Source organism: Homo sapiens, chromosome 1 (assembly GCF_000001405.40).
Source record: "Homo sapiens chromosome 1, GRCh38.p14 Primary Assembly".
Classification (NCBI taxonomy): Eukaryota; Metazoa; Chordata; class Mammalia; order Primates; family Hominidae; genus Homo; species Homo sapiens.
In genome coordinates this window covers 227,653,427-227,676,536 of record NC_000001.11, presented here as the reverse complement: position 1 = coordinate 227,676,536, position 23,110 = coordinate 227,653,427, and the positions used below count along the sequence as shown (strand labels likewise).

Genomic DNA, 23,110 nt, shown 5'->3' with positions numbered 1-23,110 from the left:
ATAATAATAAAATTAAAAAAATTATAGTAAGAAATAAAAAAAAATGTTTTGGGGATTTACATAGTTTACTTTATCTGAGAAATCACTGTCTTAAGGTTTTTGGAAGTCTAGTTCTGCTATTGTGGTTTCTCCTGTTTCCCATTCATGGCTCTTGTTTCCCTGTATGTTTCTGGGATTTGAAATCATGAGCTTACATTTGGTAGTCTTACACTGTTAAAATCTTGTAACTCCTAGTTTAAGGGTGAGTCCCTCCTGACAGCATTTGTGTTTGCTTCTTCGAGGTACTCTGGGATGCTATCAATCAAAGGCTTGTTTTAGATTGGTTTGTTGCCTTAGTATTTTCTGGATAGGCAGGTGATTTAAGTCTAAACTTCAAACTTGAGGGAAGAATTGTGGTTATCAACTCTTAAGGGGAATGCTTTTCCTAGCCAGCAATTACTCCAAAATTGTTAAATGTCCCAAGCACCAACTTTTGTCAAAGATAGATTATTTCCAGTCTCCAATTTCATTTTGAACCTAATCTTTTTAGGATCTCAGCATTATAGTGGGATGGGATTTTATCTTGACCTAAAACCTGAATGCACAGCTTATCTCTCCTTTTCCCTGTTACCATTAAATACCGTCTTGAGATTATCAGTACTGGCAAACACCTTGCAGATGTTGCATTCTTAACATGAGTTTACCACTTTGGCTTTCAGCTGCATTTTTGTTTTTTGAATCCTGAGAGTTACAATTACTTTTTTACAAGTTTAGATGATTGTTGTTCACTTCATTTTATCCAGCATAATAGGTGTTTTTTATGGGGCCTTTCCCCACCCCCCCAGGATATGGAGTGTGTACCATGTTGCCAGAAATGAAAGTAACTATATGTATAATTTTAAAGATGTAAAAAAAAAAATGTATTTTAAGTGAATGTTCACAGTCATCAGGAAAAATTTCCTGAATTTTCTTTGCAGTTCAACAAAACATGATGTACTTTTCCCTCTAGTTTGAATAAACACAATCTATTTTCACATATTGCAAAGAATTTAGAAATAGTTCATTTTGGGCAACATATAAATATATATAATTAATCAAATAATAAAGTTCAAATAATTAGCCCTTTAGATTTTTATCTTAGTCATCTTGGGCTGCCACAAAAGACCATAACTTGGTGGCTTAAACAATAGAAATTAACTTTCCCACAGTTCTGAAGTCTAGAAGTCCAAAATCAAGGTGCTAGCATAGTTTATTTCTGGGCTGTCTTCTGGATTGCAGATGGCCACCTTCTCACTGTGTTCTCACAGGATGGGCAGGAGTGGAGGGGAGTGAGAAAGTTCTCTGGTGCATCTTCTTATAAGGGCACTAATTCCATCATGTTGGCCCTACCCTCAAACCTCATCTAAACCTTATTATCTCCCAAAGGCCCGATATCCAAATATTGTTACACTTCAGGTTACGGCTTCAATATGTAAATTTTAGGGAAATACAATTCAGACCATAGCAATGTTCAAATGAATGTCATAAGTTCAACATATACTTCTTATTAAATAAGACTAGAAAAATACTTTCTTAATACAATGTATTTATCTCAAAACAAATGTCAACATCATGTTTAATACCAAAACAATAAAAGAATTTCAATTGTAGATAGAAATAGAAAAATAGGCTGCGTGCAGTGGCTCACGCCTATAATCCCAGCACTTTGGGAGGCTGGGGTGGGTGGATCACCTGAGGGACCAGCCTGGCCAACATGGTGAAACCCCGTCTCTACTAAAAATAGAAAAATTAGCTGGGCGTGATGGCAGGCGCCTGTAATCCTAGCTACTCGGAAGGCTGAGGCAGGAGAATCGCTTGAACCCGGGAGGCAGAGTTTGCAGTGAGCCAAGATCATGCCATTGCACTCCAGGCTGGGCAACAAGAGTTAAACTCTGCCTCAAAAAAAAAAAGAAAAAAAAAAAAAGAAAAATTATATTTAATATCACTATGATTTTTTTTCCAAATAAACTTAAATAATTTACATAAAGAAAATGCTCATCTTTTAAGTTCACAGTTTCATGAGGTGTGACAAATATATATACCTGTTTCAATCTTTTGTCCTATACTATTTGCTTTCCAGCTTCCAACATTTTTTATCTTGTCTATCCTTCTTATACTTGATTCCTATCCTTGTGGATTTATGCACTTCTAAAATTATCATTTACTCTGAGTTTACTGGGGACAAAGAGAAGATGAAAGCAGATGTGTTTGCTCAATCCACCATCTTTACTTGAAAGTTTGCTGGGAAAGATTTCTAAAAGGATCTAACTCTACTTACGTATCAATTACCATTTGGAACAAAATAAACTAACCTATAATCTAAAGGCTTAAACCACCACCATTTATTTAGGTCATGATTCTGTAGGTCATTGCCTTCTCTTCCCTGAAACTTCCTCTTGCTCCTATAGTAGAATCTGTCAGTGGTTGGTCCTGTCTTAGGTTGTTCTCTGCCAAACCCTTGCCTGACACTGGCAGCCACCTCGGTGGTGTGCCTCTCATTTCTTAAGTTCTGGTCTTAAAAATAAATTGTAGAGAGAAAGCTTTTCTTTTTTTCTCATATACTTCATAATAATATATTTGTATGTGTTTTAAAAATGTAAGTTTAATTAAAACATATGAATAAAAGCCTTTATAATAAATCCCAGCAACTCCAAGCAATTTCTGATCTAAATATGTACAATTACCTTTTCCATTTCAAATTTTTGAAAAACTGGAATATTTGAGGAGCTCATAGTTGCCAAGAGTGTTAATATTTTCCAAATAGGCAGTATATCTGAGAAATGTGAAAGGCAGCCCTGTCCTAAAGCTTCATTGGATAAGGCAAATCTTCAGTTTCCACAGCTGCTGGCTTCAGCCTACCCAGAGGAATAGTTTTAGAGAGACATTAATCTCTGAGAAATCCACAGTAATTCATAGAATGCTTGCACAGTGATTCAAGCAGCATGTGTAAAATTTATTTAGTGTTTGGCCGGGAAAAGTTTTAATTATGTGAAGTCTTCAGAATGAGAAGAAGGTGACTAAAGATGTTTGACTAAATCAGTCATGGAGGACCTGGATTCTCCCAGACCTCCCTCCAATTTTGTTTTATTTCTGCAAACCTCAAACCATAAATGCAAAGGAAGCTCTCATGGAATTAGATGATGGCACTGTTAGAACCAAGATGCAACTAGCAGAAACGTCATCTAAGACAGGAGATATGAACAGCAGCAGTCTTGAGCCCTCCAGTGTAGCAAAAAGGTCAGGTGTCCAGTGGTGGGTTATCTACAACCAGGGTAGGCTCAGAGGTGAAAAATTATGGGATTGTTGAAAACCCAAGAGGCAGGATGCAAGATGCTTCCATCAAAAACCCCAAGTAAGTGCAAGGTGGAGTGTGACCACCTGCTGGTCAGCTCACTTTCTGAGTTCCTGGCATAGTGTGGTGTTGAACCTGAGGTAGCACTTGGAAGTGGAGAGAGGGCCAGGGTCCATTTATGAGGATGATACAGGCATGGGGACTGGGCCTTGCAGGAAGAAGAGTTGAGCCAACCCTACTGGGCTTAAAAATGGTCAATAATCAGAAACCACAAGGTGTCACCTAGGCTGATGGAACAGTTAGAAAACCACAGTTATCTTTAAGGATGAGTTTTCATCCTCTAGGTTTTGTCCATAGATATTAGGACCCCAGCACAAGACTTTGGGCAGGGGTTTTTGTCCCAGGTGACTGTGTCAGAGCCTCAGAAAGGGGACAATAATTTTCGGAGACAATCAAAAGCTAGTCCTGTGAGGTAGAGCACAGAAGCCAGAGTGAGCCTGCAAGGTTCTCATAATCATCCCTAGACCGACCGACCCACAGCATGAAGGTCAGGGGGAGCTGCTGAAGTATTTACTCCCTCAAGTCACACAAGCCTGGGCACCAAAGTAGGCTTTTCCTAGCTGAGAGGAGTAGGGAAGGGAACCAGACCGACCTGACCCTGGAGTTCAAAACACTAAGGTTGAGATGATGATGTGAGTAGGAGTCTCCACCTGAGTTTCCCAGAGATCGCATCAGCTCCAACATGCCCTAAATTTATTCCCTCTGCCCCTCTGTTTTCTTTTCTCTATACTGTTTATAGTACCCTGAGCCTCCCAATCACTCAGGCTCAAACCTGAAGCTTATTATGGGCCCTTCGTCTTCCCTGCCCTGAAAATTCTACCTCATATCCTTTCTAACTCTCCATACCCACTGTCACTCCCCTAACTCAGAAATTTCTCCCTTTTCTTCCCCCTACTGTTCCCTAATCTCATATGGTGGTGGCAGGCTGAATATTCAGGAACAGGGTTCTAATAATGTCATTGCTCTGTTCTAAAATCATAGAAGTATTTACATCACCTGGAATAAAATTCAAATTAAGCCTGTACATCAAAGCCCTTCCTGAGTTTTTTTCAATCTACCTTTCCAATGTCAGGCAAACAAAACCACTCTCTTCTCTGTACACTTTTTACTCCATTCTACCTTTGCATTTTGCTCTGCATGGAATGCATTTCTCTGCATCACTGCATTTCTGAATCTTACCCATCCTTCAAGATCAGCTCCTGCGTGAATGTTCTCTGATTTTCCTCTGCAAGCACCTCTTTTGGACTCCTGGAACCACATGTCCTATTTTTTTACATTTTAAAAAAAGGATATGCTTTTTAATATTTTTTCATTAAGTGATAAGCTCCTTGGAAATAAGGGCCTTACATCAAATTCACCTTTATGGAGGCATAGGGAGAGCCAAGAACATTGAATTTGGCCAGTTTGTAAGAAATGTAAAGAAGTTTGGTGGAATAACTTTGAAAAGGTAGATTGGAGTCATATTGTGACTCCAGAGTCATAGCTAAAGGTGGTTGGGAATAATCAGCAGAAGTATAACAATAGATGTGGTAACCCTGAGAAAGAATATCAAATATGAAAGGAAAAGATCTATGGCTGGAAGTTCAGGGAACATCACCCTGCAAGTGTTGGATGGAGAATGAAGAATCCCTTATGGAGACTGGCAAACAATGATTGTGTAGGATAAAAGACAGTCACAATATTCATACTACACTGGGCATGAAAAAAAATTCAGCCCTATTGGTCCGTCACACCAATATGTGCATGGATAAGTCTGACGAAAATGTGTGTTTTTTTTTCTCTAGAATTGCAAATAGGGCAGAATTGCAAATATGGCGGGACATCCTGACAGACTTATAAACCCTTAATTCAGAACATTAGAAAAATTGATTCTAGCATGGGCAACATGGCAAGGTCCTGTCTCTACAATTTTTTTTTTTTTAATTTGTAGAGCATGGTGGCATGTGCCTGCAGTATCAGCTAGTTGGGAGCCTAAGGCAAGAGGATTGCTTAAGCCCAGGAGTTTGAGGCTCCAGTGAACTATGATGGCACCACCGCACTCCAGTCTGAGCAACAGAGTGAGATCCTGTCTTAAGAAAAAAAAAAAAAAAAAGGTGATCCACTCATTGCCATAATTTTCCTAACAAATGGAGCCTCCCAAGCCCAGTAAACCTGAGACATCTACAAATATGAAAATGCTGGACATAAAAAAAAAAAAAATAAAAGGCCTCACATGAAGGAACACACAAATGGGAATGAGAAGGATTCCTGGTGGTCTGATTTTGTGTTGGCCTCCCAGTCCCAAAAGTTATTTTAAAGTTGAACATAATTATTAAAACCAGAGTATAAGCATAGAGACTCTGAGGCAGTAAACAGGGGTTGAATGGGGGCTTAAAAATCCTGACTACAGGGAACCTGAAAGACTAGGGCAGCCCTTCACAGAGCTGGATAGAAAAGTTCTAGGTGAGGGGTGTGCAATCCTTACTGGATAGGAACTGTGTAGAATCTTGGGACAGTGAGCAGCTTCCACTTGAGACCTTTCTGATCATTCCTGACCAGGGGAAGCTACTGCCACAGACATGCAGGACCTGCTCTGTGTCAGCTAAATTTAATTCTGGGCAGACAAAAGCTGAGCTCCTGGGAGGCAAAAAGCCCTCAGCCAGGCAGACATTTACCTGATCAAAGCAGGGAGGCCCTCTGAAGCCCACCCTGGTAAAGGTCCTACCTGAGACCATAATAATCTTACACTTTACTCCAATACAATGGAGGCCAAACTACTCGTTTAAATGGTTCTACAAATGTTTGGTTCAAATTACACTTTATTCTTTATTCAGATTTATTAAGGTATAATTGACAAATTACAATTATATATACTTGTGGTGTACAATGTGATTTTTAAAATTTCAGCTTTTATTAAATCGGGGGATACATGTGTAGGACTGTTACATGGGTATTTTGGGTATAGTAAGCATGGCACCCACAGGTAGTCTTTCAACACATGCCCGTCTCTCTTCCTACTCTCCTAGGAATCCACAGTGCCTATTTGTTTATCTTCCACTTCTAAGTGAGAACACGTGGTATTTGGTTTTCTGTTCCAGAGTTAATCTGCTTTAGATTATGGCTTCCAGCTTCATCTATGTTGCTGCTGAGAACATGATTTTATTTTTTTATAGCTTCATATTATTCCATGGTGTAAATGTACGTTTTCTTAATACAATCCAGCATTGTCGGGCACCTAGATTGATTCCACTTCTCTGCTACTGTGAGTACTGCAGTGATGAGTATATGAGTGCATGTGTCTTATTGGTATAATAATTTATTTTCATTTTGGGATATACCCAGTTATGGAATTGCTGGGTCAAATGGTAACTCTGTTTTAAGTTCTTTGAGAAATCTCCAAACTGCTTTCCACAGTGGCTGAACTAATTTACATTCTCACCAACGGGGTATGGGTTTTTTTTATCTGCAGCCTTGATAGCATGTGTTGTATTTTTGATAATAGCTATTCTGACCGGTGGGAGATGGTATTTTTTTTTTTTTTGAGACGGTCTCGCTCTGTCTCCCAGGCTGGCGCGCAGTGGCACGATTTCAGCTCACTACAAGCTCCGCCTCCCGGGTTCCCGCCATTCTCCTGCCTCAGCCTCCTGAGTAGCTGGGACTACAGGCGCACGCCACCGCACCTGGCTAATTTTTTTTTAGATATATATATATTTTTAGTAGAGACGGGGTTTCACCGTGTTAGCCAGGATGGTCTTGATCTCCTGACCTCGTGATCCACCCGCCTCGGCCTCCCAAAGTGCTGGGATTACAGGCGTGGGGAGATGGTATTTCATTGTGGTTTTAATTTGCATTTCTCTGGTGATTTGTGATGAGTATTTTTTGATATGTTCATTGGCCACTTGTATGTCTTACTTTGAAAAGTGTCTGTTCATGTCTTTTGCTCACTTTTGTATGGCACTATTCATTCTCTACTTGTTGACTTAAGTTTCTTACAGATTCAGGGTATTAGACCTTTGTTGGATGCAGTTTGTGAATATTTTTTTCCCATTGTGTAGGTTGTTTGTTTACTCTGTTAGTGGTTTTTTTTTTTTCCACTTTGCAGAAAATCTTTAGTTTAATTAGGTCCCATTTGTTAACTTGTGGTTTTGTTGCAATTGCTTTTGGGGGCTTGGTCTTAAATTCCTTGCCAAAGTCGATGTTGAGGAGGGTAAATTCTAGGTTTGCTTTCAGGATTTTTATATTTTGCAATCTTACATTTAAATCTTTAATCCACATAATAGAACAGAATAGGAAACTTGGAAATAAGGCCATACACCTACAACCATCTGATCTTTAAGAAGGCTGACAAAAACAAGCAATGAAGAAACGACTTCCTATTCAATAAATGGTGTTGGCATAACTGGCTGGCAATATGCAGAAGAATACAAATAGATCCTTACCTTTCATCATATAAAAAATTTAACTCAAAGTAGATTAAAAATTCAAATTATATTTTAAACATATTTTTAAAACTGTGAACACAGTCAAGTGTGTGATGCCAAATGTGAACACTTGTAGACCCCAGTGGCTTACGTAAGCCACAGGTTCATATACTCATGCCCAACTCAGAATAAAGGTTCTCCTGCCAAAACCATGAATGTATTTGAACACAAGAGACCAGCCATGAATCAGAAAACATCTGAAGACACTCTATCCAGCTTGGCATTTTATGTTTACAATGATGGACCATATATGTGTGTGGACTGTTATAAATTTTACTGAGAATCTGCTTGCTAGCCAGAATTATGGATTTTTTTAGCTCCAATACCAAAGCAGATCAAAAGACATTTTAATAAATGTAATATCTGCAGAACCTTTATGAGCCTGATACTAGTTTTAATTCAACTTGGCTGAATTATGTTTAATTATAGAAATTAAATCGCTAATTATAGAACTGGTATCAACAGGCTAAACTATTATGAAACCTATGGATATATTCACAATTTAGTCTAGTAGGTATATTATTGTCCCAAAACTTCAGGGATATGACTTCTTCCTGGGGGATACAAAACACTTTTACTCAAATATCTACATTGTTAGAGCTACTGTTTGGTGTTCTGAATCTCCTGAGGTTTCCATTTCAAGAGCTGCAACAGAAACTTTAAAAAATAAATTGGGAGTTTCTTCTGATACTGTGACTTCTGTTCCATAAAATATCTAAATGTTCCATAAATCTGTATTTTCAATAAACTCAGGGCAGTGGGATAAAGAAAAATACACCCATTTGAATCTGAATACCTTAGCTTTTCTCAATAAATTAGATATCCTTTTTTCTTCCCTATAATTTCATGGTTAATGTGTTCATATGTTTCATCACATTATTGAAGACATAAAATTCTCTGATCCATTAGGAGCCTGATAAATAAGTTCGGGGTATATTTATTTCCCAAAATAATTGACAGTAAACTTCTCTGACTACATTAAATACAATTAACTTATATTTTCTGCTGCAAGTTATTAAAGTATCCCTTAAACAAGAACTGATAAGTCATCGTTCTAAGAAATATTTGATCTTGCTTACTTTCTTTATCTAATTATGTGAGAAAACAGCTATCAACATTCCCAGGAGAAAATTCCTGGAGAGGAGATTAATAGAAGCTGGGGTCACCAATCTCCTCGTCTTCTCAGCAAAATTGTAGATGCCAGTTCTACTTTTAATTGTAGTGGCTCATCTGTAGCCTGTGAACCAAGTTTTTCCAAGGTATTTATATATCAGCAGGGGGAAAGAGCAAGGCCCAGTAGCTATTATCTCAGAATCAAATAACACATCGACTGAGATATAGAGTAGACCTTTTTTATCTTTTTCTGTTCTCAGTGGGGTGTGGTGTCTCATGTCTGAAATCCTAGCAGTTTGAGAGGCCAAGGCGGGCGGATCGCTTGAGGTCAGGAAATTGAGACCAGCCTGGGCAACATGGCAAAACCCTGTCTCTACAAAAAATTAGCTGGGTGTGCTGGCGTGCACCTGTAGTCCCAGCTACTTGGGGGGCTGAGGAAGGAGGATCGCTTGACCCCAGGAGGTCGAGGCTGCAGTGAGCCAAAATCACTCCACTGCACCCCAGCCTGAGTGATGAAATGAGTTTCTGTTTAAAAAAAAAAAGAGGAGAGGCCGGGTGCGGTAGCTCACGCCTGTAATCCCAGCACTTTGGGAGGCCGAGGTGGGTGAATCATCTGAGGTCTGGAGTTCAAGACCAGCTGACCAATATGGTGAAACCCCATCTCTACTAAAAATACAAAAAATTAGCCGGCTGTGGTGGCGCATGCCCGTAATCCCAGCTACTTGGGATGCTGAGGGAGGAGATTTGCTTGAACCCGGGAGGCGGAGGTTGGAGTGAGCCAAGATCCTGCCATTGCACTCCAGCCTGGGCAAAAACAGCAAAACTCTACCTCAAAAAAAAAAAAAAAAAAAAGCAAGAAAGAAAAGAAAAGAAAAAGGAGAGAGCGTGGACCCTTTACAGTGAGCAAGGGATGCTTTTCAACCCCACAGTTCATGAGCAGGATATCCCCTGTCGAACTGCAGCAAGGCCTACTCAAGGAGAAGCTGCAAGGGCACATATCTGTCACTGAGCATAAGAAACTTAGAAAAATACTTCCCCTAAGCCACAAGTCAAGGCTACCCTGTGTAATTTATGGCCTGTTTGATTCCAGTTACCTCAGTTAAGCTTGTTAAAAAACAGTTTAGTTCCCAGAGGACTCATTAGTGAACGCTGACTATAGAAGTTTCACAACTTAAAAAATGACTCATATGAATATGTAAATAGTATCCAGACACAATAGATTAATGCAGCTCAAAAGCCAGGATGGGGCCTTTAGTAAAATTCCATTAGATAATACTGTCAGTGATTTGAAGGTAGACTTTTTACCTGTTTGGGCTCCCTTTTTTGTTTACCCTCTTTAGCTTAATAATCAGTCTAGCACAATTATGCCAAGATGAGTATACATTAATGAGGCAAATCCTCCAATATTCCTGTGTTCTCTCTTGCCAAAGAGAAGCATTTACCATTTCAGAAGTATCAGACTAAATAATGCAATATACGTCAGATAACTTCTGATCTTTTGATTTAAGATGGCTGACAGGTCATCTGTGGCAACCTTTCTTTACCACAAATTCTTAGAAAGAATAACTCACTCTGAAAATTAAGATGTATCCTCACTAAACTAGAAGTCAGGAAAAATCATTAAAACATGAAATGTAGATAGGATTGGATTGAAGAAGAAAACCACAGCCAAACGGCATACAGGATAGGGTAGCTACAAAAGGTGAGGCAAACCTGACCAGGCACACCCTCCCAGGAGAGAGCAGTTGCCTAGAGGATAACGGGACCCTGGATTAAATAATAATCACAAGATTATTGACTAGAAAAAGATAATCCACAAAATAGAAAAATTGGCAAAAGATATGTTGTAGTTCACAAAAAATATTAATAGCTTTACATACACAAAATATGCTCAGGCTTAGTCATGACATAATTGTCTAATTCATATTTTGACATCTTAAAGCTGAGGAAATGGAAAGCAATTATATTCTAAGGCTGAAGCCCTCATAATTGGATTTACTGGCTTTATGAAATAGTTCTTAAAAAGCTCTCTCTTTGCCAGGTAAGTGTACAACCTTAAGCCTCCGGCCTACAACCTGAGAGCCCTTGCCAAAGCCCAATTATGCCAGACGCTGATCTCCAGCCTGAGGTGAAATATAAGTGATATCCCATTGTCTTTGTTGAATTCTGTTGGTCAAAAGTGAGTCATTAGCCCCACAGTGCTCTGAGTTTTTGTGGATGCTGCACACCACCTGATATGCAGCACAAGCGTCTGATTTTACATATAATGGAAAGTCACTGGAATGTGTAATTAGCTGGAAGATGGCAATATTTGGATTTTAACCTCTAATTCAGAATGAAAAATGAGGCCCAGAGAAGTGACTTTCCAAAACCACACTGCTGGGCCCAGGCCTGTTTGAGCTGTAGTCCACGCTACCTCCCACCCCTTCTTGTAATTCTTTCATCTCTAAATTTGTGCTTTATCTTCATGTGACACTATGCCATGAGTTTTGTCTCATTTGTACCCGAAGAATTTTCTAGGAAGATGCTGGTATAATCCCCATTGGGTAGGTTAGGAGGCTGGGTAGGCACCAAAATACACAATGACTTCTAGGGTCACAGAACTGGTTAGAAAAAAGTAGTTCTGATCCAGCTGTGTCACCACAAACCTGGGGCCCTGACTGCGTCCAGTCTCCGTAGGGGACTGAGAGAGGCTGTGCTTGCATAACTGTGTATAGGCAAGGAGCTGACATGGTGGGGAGCGTGAGAAATCAGTAGCCCACCAGGGCCTTTGGGTAGGTCATATGGAAGGAAGGGGTCCTGGGGATAGAACCCTGAAGTGACCTTACTTTCTCGGTGACAGACCCCAAGATAATTTAGAACCCTGGTAACCAGGCACCTACATTCTAGAGACAGCCCCAGTAGTCAACTTACTCAGTAGGAAATGCTCAAGAGAGCAAGATGTTCTTTTGCTATATCCTGACTTTTCCAAGGCTCTTGATTTAGTAAGGCCTGACGTGAGAATGCTTTCCAACAATGCAGGCATTGGCTCAACTCTCACCACTGATGCCTCTGGCCATTTGGCAGGGGGCATGCAAAGTTAACACAGGGCATCTCAGGAGAGGCCCATGCAGGTAAGGCCTCATCTGTGATCCTATTAAATAAGGCTCACATGTCTTTCTGACACCGTGTGTTGGGGAAAGCAAGTGCTGAGGAGGCTATTTCTGGACACAAGCAGATTATCAAGTGTCGGAAGCCTTAGTGAGATGGTCAGGTTCATACCACAGGGCATGACAGGACAGGGAGGTGAGTGTTGAAAAACAATTTTGTCTTCTTGGATGTGAACCCCAAGACTTCAAACCGTGATCTGGTTTCCTCCCTGGCTGAAGGTCTATGGGAATTCTCTTTTATGCCTGATATAGGGATAATTATTTTTTTTAAATAGGGTCTCACTTTTGTCTCACAGGCTGAAGTGCAGTGGTGTAATCATGGCTCAATGAAGCCTCAACCTTTGGAGAACTTTTAATGGAAGTGTCCCCGTGATGACAACCAGGCAACCACTGATGCCTCTTGGCCTAGCTGCAAGGCACTCTCTTTGCAGAGCTCCATGCAGGAGATCAATAAAAAGCTGTTTGATGGGTCCAACTACTCCATCTCTTTGGATGAAGGGCAGGTATACCATGCCACCGAGCATATCTAGCACTGGGCTTGGGTGGGAGTGGGCACAGAGAGGTCTTTGCAGACAGGGATCAGAGGAGACAAAAGTGGGCCGAGGACAAAGACCTGAATATGTAGACACCCTGGGATCTGTCCTAGGGCTTTTCCACTAGGGTAACTCACCATTCTTTCCCAAAGGAGTCTGGCTTTCATGAGTCCTAAATGGCAAATGGTTAGGCGCAAATCCCTGTTCACATACTTATAGAAATATCAGAGAAGACATTTTTCTGTTGCTTTTACTTCACACTAGGCCCTGAGTATCTTTGCATGTTGCTGTTTTTATTAAATAACTGCACCCAGGTATCTCTTATAGCAGACAGCTCCTTCTCCATACCTTACACACGAGTATTTTTATGAGGGAAGTGTTTACAAAAGGGGAGCCGGGGGTTAACCCAAAAAGGTTAAGGTATCCTACGCATTTCTCTGCAATGTGTCATCTTAGAGAACTCATGCCTATAGTCCCATCAGGGCAGGAGCTCTGACCTTACATGTCTTGATATCACGTCTTTATGTTATTTCATAATCAAAGCTGTTTCCCACAGTGGTTCAGCCTTTCAATGCTGGTGGAAACTGGCATGAAGACATTTTATTTCCACTTCAGTCGTGCTGCAGGAAACATATTGTATGTGTCTTAACAAACTATAACAGTTTGCTACGCTGTCATAATACAGCATCACAAACTCAAGGCTTTAATAACAGATATTTTTTCTCACAATTTTGGAGGCTAGGAACCTGACATCAAGCTATGGCTGGGGTGTTTTTTCTGAGGCCATTTTCCTTGACTAGTAGATTGCTGTCTTCCATTGCTGTGTTCACAGGATCTTCTGTTTCTGTATCTTTACCATCACTTCTTATAAAGACCCCAGTCATATTGGATTAGGGCTCACTCCAATAAACTCACTTAACCTTAATTACCTCTATAAAAATCATATGTCCAAATATATTCCCATTCTGAGGCACTGACTATTAAAACATGGGAACACATACATTTTTGGGAGAAAATGCAATTCAGCCCATAATATATAGTAATCACCTGCAGAAAGGGGTAACTTGGTGAAAGAATATGCATGGGTAAAACTTTAATAGGTATAGCCAGATTACTTTCCAAAAGGGCTGTGGCAAGTATAGTGTCCCCAGCAGTCTCTCAATATCGCTGGTTCCCTACATCCAGCCTCCCTTGAATGTTAAGACTTAATTTTTTGCCAATCTGGTGTCTGTGTGACAAAGAAACTCATGTAATTCCTTGCATTTCCAGTTGTTTAACAGATAAGTTTGAGTCACCTTTCAGTCATTTAATACTTATTTGGGGTTTCTCTTCCCTGCGTCATCTGCTCACATCCTTGGCCCTGCAGTTTCCCAGCATTTGTCTTTGCCAGGTGAGAAACTGCTGTAGCTGTTTCTTAAGACTCCCCTTAATGTTAAAGAAAACAAGTATGTGCGTTAGGTCAAAAGGTTTATTGTAAATCATCTTGCTCTGTGTATTCTTTCCAAACAGAAAAAAATAAAACTTCTCCAAGGCTCTTTTCTTCCACATGACAGCAAACAGAACTTCAGGTAGCTTACAGGAAAATTCATACCACTCTCACTCTGCACGTTCTCAATTCTGAACCACATGCTTTAAGGAGACATTGGATGTGCAAAAGCCTGTGTTTTCTCATCTCTACAATGAGGATGTTTTTCAGGATTCACAGTAATCTCTTAACACAGGCTATTAATACAGATGTGTGCTGTTGCTCCACAGCTGACAAATACCATAGAAACGCTTGAAAGTATTAATGTTTGAATCAATCCCCAACCTCCACATCCAATTTTACTTCGGAAGCCTAGAACCTTCTCCTTAAATACTCATGTCCTCCACATGCACTGATGTATTGGAATTTCCTGGTCTGAATTTCAATCCCCAAAGCACCTGAGGCTCATGCTGCTGTTACTGACTGTAGTTCCCTCCTTGTCCCCCGAGTAGTATAAAAATGAGTCTAAGCTGAATCTAGAGTAAATCTGCATGATGTGGACCACCAGGCTAGGGAGAAGGGAGATCCTGGTGGGTTCCTGACTTCAGCTTTGCAGGCTGGGACCATCTTTTCCTTCACCATTTTCCTAGGCTCCTAACCAGGACTTCACCACAGCACCATAGTTTCTGGAGTAGCTGTTCAGAAGCTCAATGTTTGTCCCTTCCAAGACACACTGATGACTGCCACCTATTGGCTGTGACTTGGAGATGTCCCCAATGTTCCTGCAGCTCTCTGAGCTGAACTTTTCTTCTCTCAAAATGGGTGAAAAGAAGATAAACCTCATAGGGTTCTTGTAGGGACTAATGTTTTGAGACATGGAAAGCAGGTCAACCATGCCTGGCTCCATAAAAAGGCTTCTGGGCATGCTGTGGCTGTTCATATTTATTATTTTTTTCTGAATTTTACTGAAACTCTCTGTAACATGCCCCAATGACTCATGTCCCTTATTGTTGGGAAAAGCATATCAAAAACAAGTCCATTTTTGCATTTGTAAATGCGGCTTGACATTTCTTTTGCCTGGTCTTTGTTCTTGACATAGACAAAACAGGGGTCCCCTGCTGGTAAACAACAACAACAACAACAACAAAAACAAAACAAAACAAAACAACAAAAAAAAACAAAGGTCCCACGTTCAACAAAATATCTGAGAAGGTTCTGGTTGAGATTTATTTAGTCAACACACACACATTAAGCATTTAATCTGAATAGTCACATTTCCAGACACTTGGCATTATTCAACGAACAAAGCAGTTGAAAGTTTCTGGGCCTCAATTTCATTTGGGGAGTCAGAAACTCACAGTAGACATTATAAGCAGTAGACATTATATGTCACGAGAATGTAACATATGATGCCTTTGTGTCCTCCTCTAGGTACAGATGCATCCTCCTAGATTCTGAGAAAGATGAAGGATCTCAGAACCAATTATAACTTTTAAGTGAATGCAGAAAAAGAATTTTAGAAAATTCAACATTACTTTATGACAAAATCTCAAAACAAATTACATATAGAACATACATACCTCAAGCCAATAAAGGCCATATATGACAAATGGACATCTGACATCATGCTAAACCTTCAAAAGTTGTAAGCCTTTTTTCTAAGAGTTATAGTAAGGCAAATATATCTAACTTCATCACTCTTATTTAACATGCTACTGAATTTCCAGGCCAGAGAAATTAGAAAACAAAACCAAAGACAACCAAATTGGAAAGAAAGAAAATAATTGTCCCTGTTTGCAGATATCATAGTCTTATAAATAGAAAACTTTAAAAATACTTAGAATAAATTCACTAAAGTTGCAGGATACAAAATCAAGATATAAGGGTCAGTAGCATTTCTATACACTAACAACAAACTATCTGAAAAAGAAATAAAGAAAACAATTGACACCTGCAATAGTTACAGAAAGTTTACTTCCAAATAAAATTATTCAAAAATGTTAAAGATCTCTACATTAAAAGCTAAAGAAAACTGAGGTATAAAATTAAACATAAATAAATGAAAAGTTATCCCTTATTCATAAATTGGCCAAATTAATATTGCTAAAAAGTCTATGTTACACAAAATGATGTATATATTTAACATAATGTCTATCAAAATATCAATAAAATTTTTCACAAAAAAAACACAAAAATTCATATAGTACAGTAAAAGACTCTGAAGGTTGGAAGCACTGCACTACTTGACAGTCAAATATACTGCAAAGCTACAGTAACTGAAACAGTCCAATACTGGCATTAAAAACAGATAAATAGACCAATGGAGCAGAACACAGAAAGATGAATACCTCATGGTCTCACTCACGTGGAATCTAAACAAGTTGATCTCATAAAAGTAGAGACTAGAAAGAAGGTTAAGAGATGCTGAAGTTTTAGGAGAAGGGGGCTTAGAGAATTATCTGTTAAATGATAAACAATGCCTGTTAGCTAGGAGGAATTAGTTCAAGAGACCTATTGTAGTGCAGAGTGAATACAGTTATTGAGAATATATTGTTTTTTTTTTTTTAAGTGCCAAGACCATGTTGACCTTTCTCACAATAAAAATAACTATTGAGGTAAAGCATTTTTAATTGGCTAGAATTAAGCATTTCAAACATCATGTGTTACAAGATATATATATATGTAGATATAAAATTTTGTCAATTTAAAAATAATTTTTAAACACATCATGGAGCGATAGCAATGCTCCAAATACTGAGTCTGCATCTTTTTCATAAACTTAGCTGAACTATATAGAAAATACAGTTTTTATGATTTTTAAAAATGTCTACTTATCAGCCATAAGCATAGAAACTCTGATATTTACCAGCATGTTCTAGAACCAGCACAGAACATGGGAGTCACCAAAGGACTCTATGGCTTTCACTTTAAGTTTGGGACACCTGGAGTTTCTGGTGCTGATGCTGATCATATGGACGACATTAAAGAAGCAGGTGGTGCTAACAGTCCCATCTCTGGCCATGGTGTGAACACAGAAATCAGGTTTGCATCCAAAATCACCAAGGAAATATTTCAATCCAAAAGCTCTCTAGATCTCTGAGTTTTTTAATACAGAAAATGACTAAGGAATTGGCTTGTTATGTGATTATTTATATAAACTCTGCAATGTAAGCTGCATCCATTTAAATAAAACATATTGTGATATGAGTAAGAAACTTCCCAAGATTCCAGTATCAATGGGGAAGAAAAGATTATTCCAAAATTTAAATCCACAGAAGCATTTAGAAATTTAAATTAAATTTGAAAAATTAAATATAAATGTAAACATAAATGTAAATGTTTATTATTGTCTAATATATTACATAAACACTAAAAACTAAAAGATTCTACATGTACACATAAATTGTGCTATATGTAATTTATAAAAAACTAAATTTAAACTTTTTTGCTTGCCATTAAGTGTCCTTAAGATTTCTAAGATATATTTTTGCTTAAGGGGTTTCCAAATTCTGATGTTTCTTTATATAGTGATTATGATATATAGCCTACCATTATTAATGCTTTACCTATTCTAACTGATTTCATGTTTACTATATTTTGTGGTAGAATCTAATAACATTTCTTTCATACAAACATTACTAACTCAGTAATTTAATCCTATAAACTGTGTAGAGTACATCCCAATTATGCCAATTAAATGATTCAAATGGTGCATTTCTAACTTAAAAATGTCCTCAAACTCTCCAGTTAAATCCAATTTTTCACTATATTAAAAATTTCAAATTCCTTATCACAACCTACAAAATACTGTATGAAATTACATGGGCTGCAGAGAACAGTGAGAAATCTGTAGCCATAATAAGCAAAGAAGGGAAAGGGCTATGATTGACGCATAGTTGGGGGTGAAAATAAAATAACAGTGAAGTACCAGAGATAACTATGAAATAAACACAATTCCTCTTAATTTCAGAGGCAGTTGTACAGCCTGGGTATACATGTGTTTTCTTTACATGCAGAGTTAATGCCATCTCTTTATGCTGAATATTTCTAATCTCTTACTTGTAGCCAAAAAGTGACTTAAACAAGAATATTTACTGCTAATTATAGAGCATCTATTATACCCCCAGGAAACCTAGCACTTTCCTGTGTTTGTTCACCTCATTTATATGTCAAAACAACTTTGTGAATTATGAAGCCTTCCCAGTGTACATCTAAACAAAATGGCTCAATAAAGTGAAAAAAATTCAATTATGTAAAATATTAAAATGGAAACAAAAACCAAGTAAAAATTGGCCAAAATAGGGTTCTCCAATTGAAATACAAAAATAAAATATACTAATTAAATAAAATGTAGTAACACACATATTGTAGAATTACATCTTAAAATTATCTTGTGAACATCAATACATTTTATGAAAGTTATTCTTAGAATTTCTCAGGAATATAGAGAAAATTTCATGAACTTTGGAATGAGAAAACTATACATTAGGTTTAGTATGATCAACAGACAAGAAAAAAACAGGATTTGCATGAGAAGATTCTGAGCCAGCAGCCATAAGATTTTACAGAAGTAAATTCAATACAAAGCAGAGAATAAATATTTACTTTCAGAATCTTTGAGATTCCTAGTTTGCTAGTAAATTACCAATACTTTTTAAATTATATTTTGTTCCAATATTTTTGTTTTCTTCTCAAAAAAGTACACACCTACACTCAAACACAATTACATGCTCTGTAATTCTCTTAAAGCTAACACTTATGTTTAGAGTGACAGACTTATAAAATTAACTCCATGTTAATCAAAACTAAATGTATGTATGTGTTTTTACAGGCCAGAGGGGTCACAGGCTCAAAGAAAAACGTAGTATGACATTTTGTAAATAGTCATTCGTGATTCAAAATACATGGCCTTTCATTATACTCCTTTATAGTGGGCAATTATAATGGTTATACTGAAGATTATATAAGAGTATCATTGTCCAGTATTTACAAAAGAAAAAAATAAAAATATAACCTATGGGATGTTAGTCCATTTTGTGCTGCTAGAAGGGAATACTTAACACTGGCAAATTAATACAGAAAAGAGGTTTATTAGCCTCAGTTCTGTTGGCTATACAAGCATGACATCAACATCTGCTTAACTTCTGATGAGGCCTCAGGAAGCTTTTATGCATAATAAAAGGCAAAGGGGTATCATGGCAAAAGACAAAGCAAGAGGAATATCAGTTTTTTGTTTGTTTGTTTTTGTTTTTAACAACCAGCTTTCACATGAACTAACAGAGAACACACTAACTGCAGTGGTAAGAACACCAATCCATTCATGAGTAATCTACACCCATGACCTAAACACCTTCCACTAGACCCCGCCTCCAACATGGGGGAACACATTTCAACATGAGGTAAGGCACAAAAAAACCAAAGCATATCACATAAAAAAAACCTCCCCAAGTTGTTTGAAATTAAAAGCCACTGGGAAAAGAGATTACTAGAGGTGTCCTTTCACTGTTACCCAGTAGTGTATTGTTACTATCTGTTACCTACAACTTTGGGTAAGGTGGTATAGGTTAATTATTGTGGCAAGATATACTTCATTCAATGCAAAATATTCTTAACACATTAAAAATAATTTTGTTTTATGAAAAGAAATTGCATTCTAAAAATAACATTTCAAAAGCTACTGTATTATCTTAATGTGCAACTCATAAAACAATTTACTACTGAAATTCAAAATGTTTCCCTATTACTATAATGCAAAATACTTCTCTGAATACCTAATGTGTTACTTAAAACACTGTTATACATCAACAAAAAGCATTTCTACTTAGATTTTCCTTATAAATGTTACATTTCGGTGCCCTTAATCATTCATGAAAAAGCATATAAATGATGGTCATCTAATATAGAAGAACTTCTCATAGCTCTTATGCAGCAACAACTGACCACATACTTTAACATAAACAATAAATATAATAAAAATCAAGTTATTTGAGATATGAATTATATCAATATTAAAATATATAATCAAAAATATAAAAACTTTTAATGCAAAAAAGTATAACATGAATGTAACTGTGCTTCAAAAAGACATCATCTCTTGATTCATTTAAATTTACATACAACTAAATTATCTATTTTAACTTTGAATTATTCTCGACAATCAACACTGCTTTAAAGTAACATCTGAAACTGTTAGTGCCTTAGTACTTTCTACAGTAAATTATGTAATGTTTTATTTAGACTTAATTTTGGACATTTGTTTGTATTCACTGTATCTGTAAAATATATTCTACTATACTATAAACTCTGGTGTTTTCTAAGGCATATATCTTGAAAAAATGTTTTTCCACATTTGTAGGAGGTTTTTTGCCCCCGTAAAATCCTCTAAAGTTGAATAAAGTCTGAATAATTGTTTAAGGGTTTTTCCTCTAGTACAGATTCTGTTTACAGGAAGATCTTTGAAATAAAGATATTGTAATCTTTTATATTTATAAATTTCATTCAGTATAGTGTTGTGCACTCTGAAGCTTACATTTTGTGAAACATCCTTAAACAGTCATTATGCTCATACCACTTTTATTCAGTATGAAATTAGTGAAGCCATGTATAATGAAGCAGTTTTTAAAGACTGCCACATTTTTTACATTTGTCAGGTTCCTCTCCAGTATAAATTCTCTTATACTTACTATGGATTGAGGATTGGTAAAAACCTTTTCCACATTCTTTACATTTGTAGCGTTTCTCTCCAGTATGAATTCTTTTATGACGAGTAAGGCTTGAGAACTGGTTAAAGGCTTTGCCACATTCTTCACATTTGTAGGGTTTCTCTTCAGTATGAATTCTCTTATGCTTACTAAGGATTGAGGATTGGTAAAAAGCTTTGCCACATTCTTTACATTTGTAGGGTTTCTCTCCAGTATGAATTCTCTTATGGCTAGTTAGGTGAGAGCACTGTTTAAAAACTTTCCCACATTCTTCACATTTGTAGGGTTTCACTCCAGTATGAATTCTCCTATGTTGAGTAAGGCTTGAGAACTTGTTAAACGCTTTGCCACATTCTTTGCATTTGTAGGGTTTCTCTCCAGTATGAATTCTTTTATGCTGAGTGAGGTTTGAGAATTGAGTAAAGGTTCTGCCACATTCTTCACATTTGTAGGGTTTCTCTCCAGTATGAATTCTCTTATGGCTACTTAGGTGTGAACACCGATTAAAAGTTTTGCCACATTCTTCACATTGGTAGGGTTTTTCTCCAGTATGAATTCTTTTATGACGAGTAAGGCTTGCAAACTGTGTAAAGGCTTTGCCACATTCTTCACATTTGTAGGGTTTCTCTCCAGTATGAATTCTCCTATGTCTAGTTAGGTGTGAGCACTCATTAAAAACGTTGCCACATTCTTCACACTTGTAAGGTTTCTCTCCAGTATGAATTCTCTTATGTTGAGTAAGGTTTGAGAACTTGTTAAAGGCTTTGCAACATTCTTTGCATTTGTAGGGTTTCTCTCCAGTATGAATTCTCTTATGTTGTGTAAGGTTTGAGAACTGGGTAAAGGCTTTGCCACATTCTTCACATGGGTATGGTTTCTCTCCACTATGAATTTTCTTATGGCTAGTTAGTTGTGACCACCAATTAAAAACTTTGTCACATTCATCACATTTGTAGGGTTTCTCTCCAGTATGAATTTTCTTATGGTTAGTTAGTTGTGACCACCAATTAAAAACTTTGCCACATTCGTCACATTTGTAGGGTTTCTCTCCAGTATGAATTCTTTTATGTTTTGTTAGGTTTGAACATCGATTGAAAACTTTGCCACATTCTTCACATTTGTATGGCTTCTCTCCAGTATGAATTCTCTTATGTTCAGTAAGGATTGACCTCCAGCTAAAATTTCTGCCACATTCAATACATTGAAAGATTTTGCTTTTAGTTGATGAACATTGAGTAAGTCTATTGCAATATTCTTTCTGCCCCTTACCTTCATTCACAGTTCTCCAGTCTTTCACTAAGTGCAAATTGTCAAGGCCCCAGCTTCTATGTCTTGTCAGTGTCACTTTTTGGCATAAATCTTTCATATCCTGCTCTGGCAAAAGGTCTTGAATGGAATAAGATAAAATAGCTGAAAGAAATAAAAATAAAAAGTTATTCTTCTTACTAATCTCCAGTAAATATACTTTACAAATCTAATAAATATAATTATATCAGAGACATTAACAAGATGGCATAATAAAATATCACATGCCATGATTCCTTTTTGAACATATAAACTTAACAAAAATATACTGACCAAAATGCCTTTTTGAAAATAAAATCTAGTTAAGAGTTTGCAACACCCTAGGTGAGCACAATTGCAAAATCCATGTAGAATAGAAAGTAAAGTTTGTTACATTTATACATACAGCCTTTCTTCCACCCCAATACAGCATGGTGCCTTTAAGAGTAAACTTCAAACTCCTGGCTTCTCCCTCAAAGCAAAGAACAAAAAAACAAAAACAAAAAAACAATACATTGCACATGTGCCCATACTTCTGGCTTTTAGGGGCTTTCCAAAGACTGGTTTCTGTTTCCCATAACAAAGACTGCTGAAAGAAATGGTGGTATGCTCTGAATGACAGCTTTGGTCTGCTAAGAAAAAGGTAAATAATTGCTACTGCAGCAGAGAGATCACAGTGCCACAGACAGACATCAGGTGTAGCACATGATTACAGGTTTTTACAAAGAAACATGAACAAATCTCTTTAGCTGAACAGTAAACACACAATTCCAGAGAAGACAGATCATAAGAAGAGGTTTGAGAGGCTATAAGAATCTCCAGCCTGGCAAATAGCTATTAGCCTCCTCCAGGACAAAGCCACTTATAAAGACTGTGACAGGTGGCATTTTATTAATGCCCAAATATGAACCAAAGATTACAACATATGCAAAGTTATCAGGGTAACATGGTCCAATCAAGGAAACAAAATAAATAAAAAATTAATTCTAAGAAAATAAATATGTATAAATTATCTAAAAAATTCAAATGACTCAT

General features: G+C 37.4%; 1 protein-coding gene and 1 pseudogene across 5 annotated transcripts in view, besides 2 other annotated features; both read right to left on the bottom strand.

Annotated features, from left to right (window-relative positions):
* Positions 1-23,110, bottom strand: part of ZNF678 (zinc finger protein 678) — a 116,114-nt gene that overhangs the window by 3,133 nt on the left and 89,871 nt on the right. For 4 of the 5 annotated variants that reach the window (NM_001367910.1, NM_178549.4, NM_001367909.1 and 1 more), the window contains one exon: positions 14,076-22,201. In NM_001367910.1, coding sequence (NP_001354839.1) covers positions 20,709-22,201 — 1,493 coding nt within the window. In that variant the 3' untranslated portion in view covers positions 14,076-20,708. Of the gene's footprint in view, positions 1-14,075; positions 22,202-23,110 lie in introns of those variants that run through there. The other variant, NR_102302.2, reaches the window with a different exon arrangement.
* Positions 16,807-17,370, bottom strand: VN1R15P (vomeronasal 1 receptor 15 pseudogene; annotated as a pseudogene).
* Positions 21,283-21,483: a silencer, noted in NCBI's record as "peak746 fragment used in MPRA reporter construct". NCBI's record gives its function as "represses an SCP1 promoter by STARR-seq MPRAs in K562 erythroleukemia cells {active_cell/tissue: K562}" and the evidence as "EXISTENCE:reporter gene assay evidence [ECO:0000049][PMID:32103011]".
* Positions 21,983-22,183: a silencer, noted in NCBI's record as "peak745 fragment used in MPRA reporter construct". NCBI's record gives its function as "represses an SCP1 promoter by STARR-seq MPRAs in K562 erythroleukemia cells {active_cell/tissue: K562}" and the evidence as "EXISTENCE:reporter gene assay evidence [ECO:0000049][PMID:32103011]".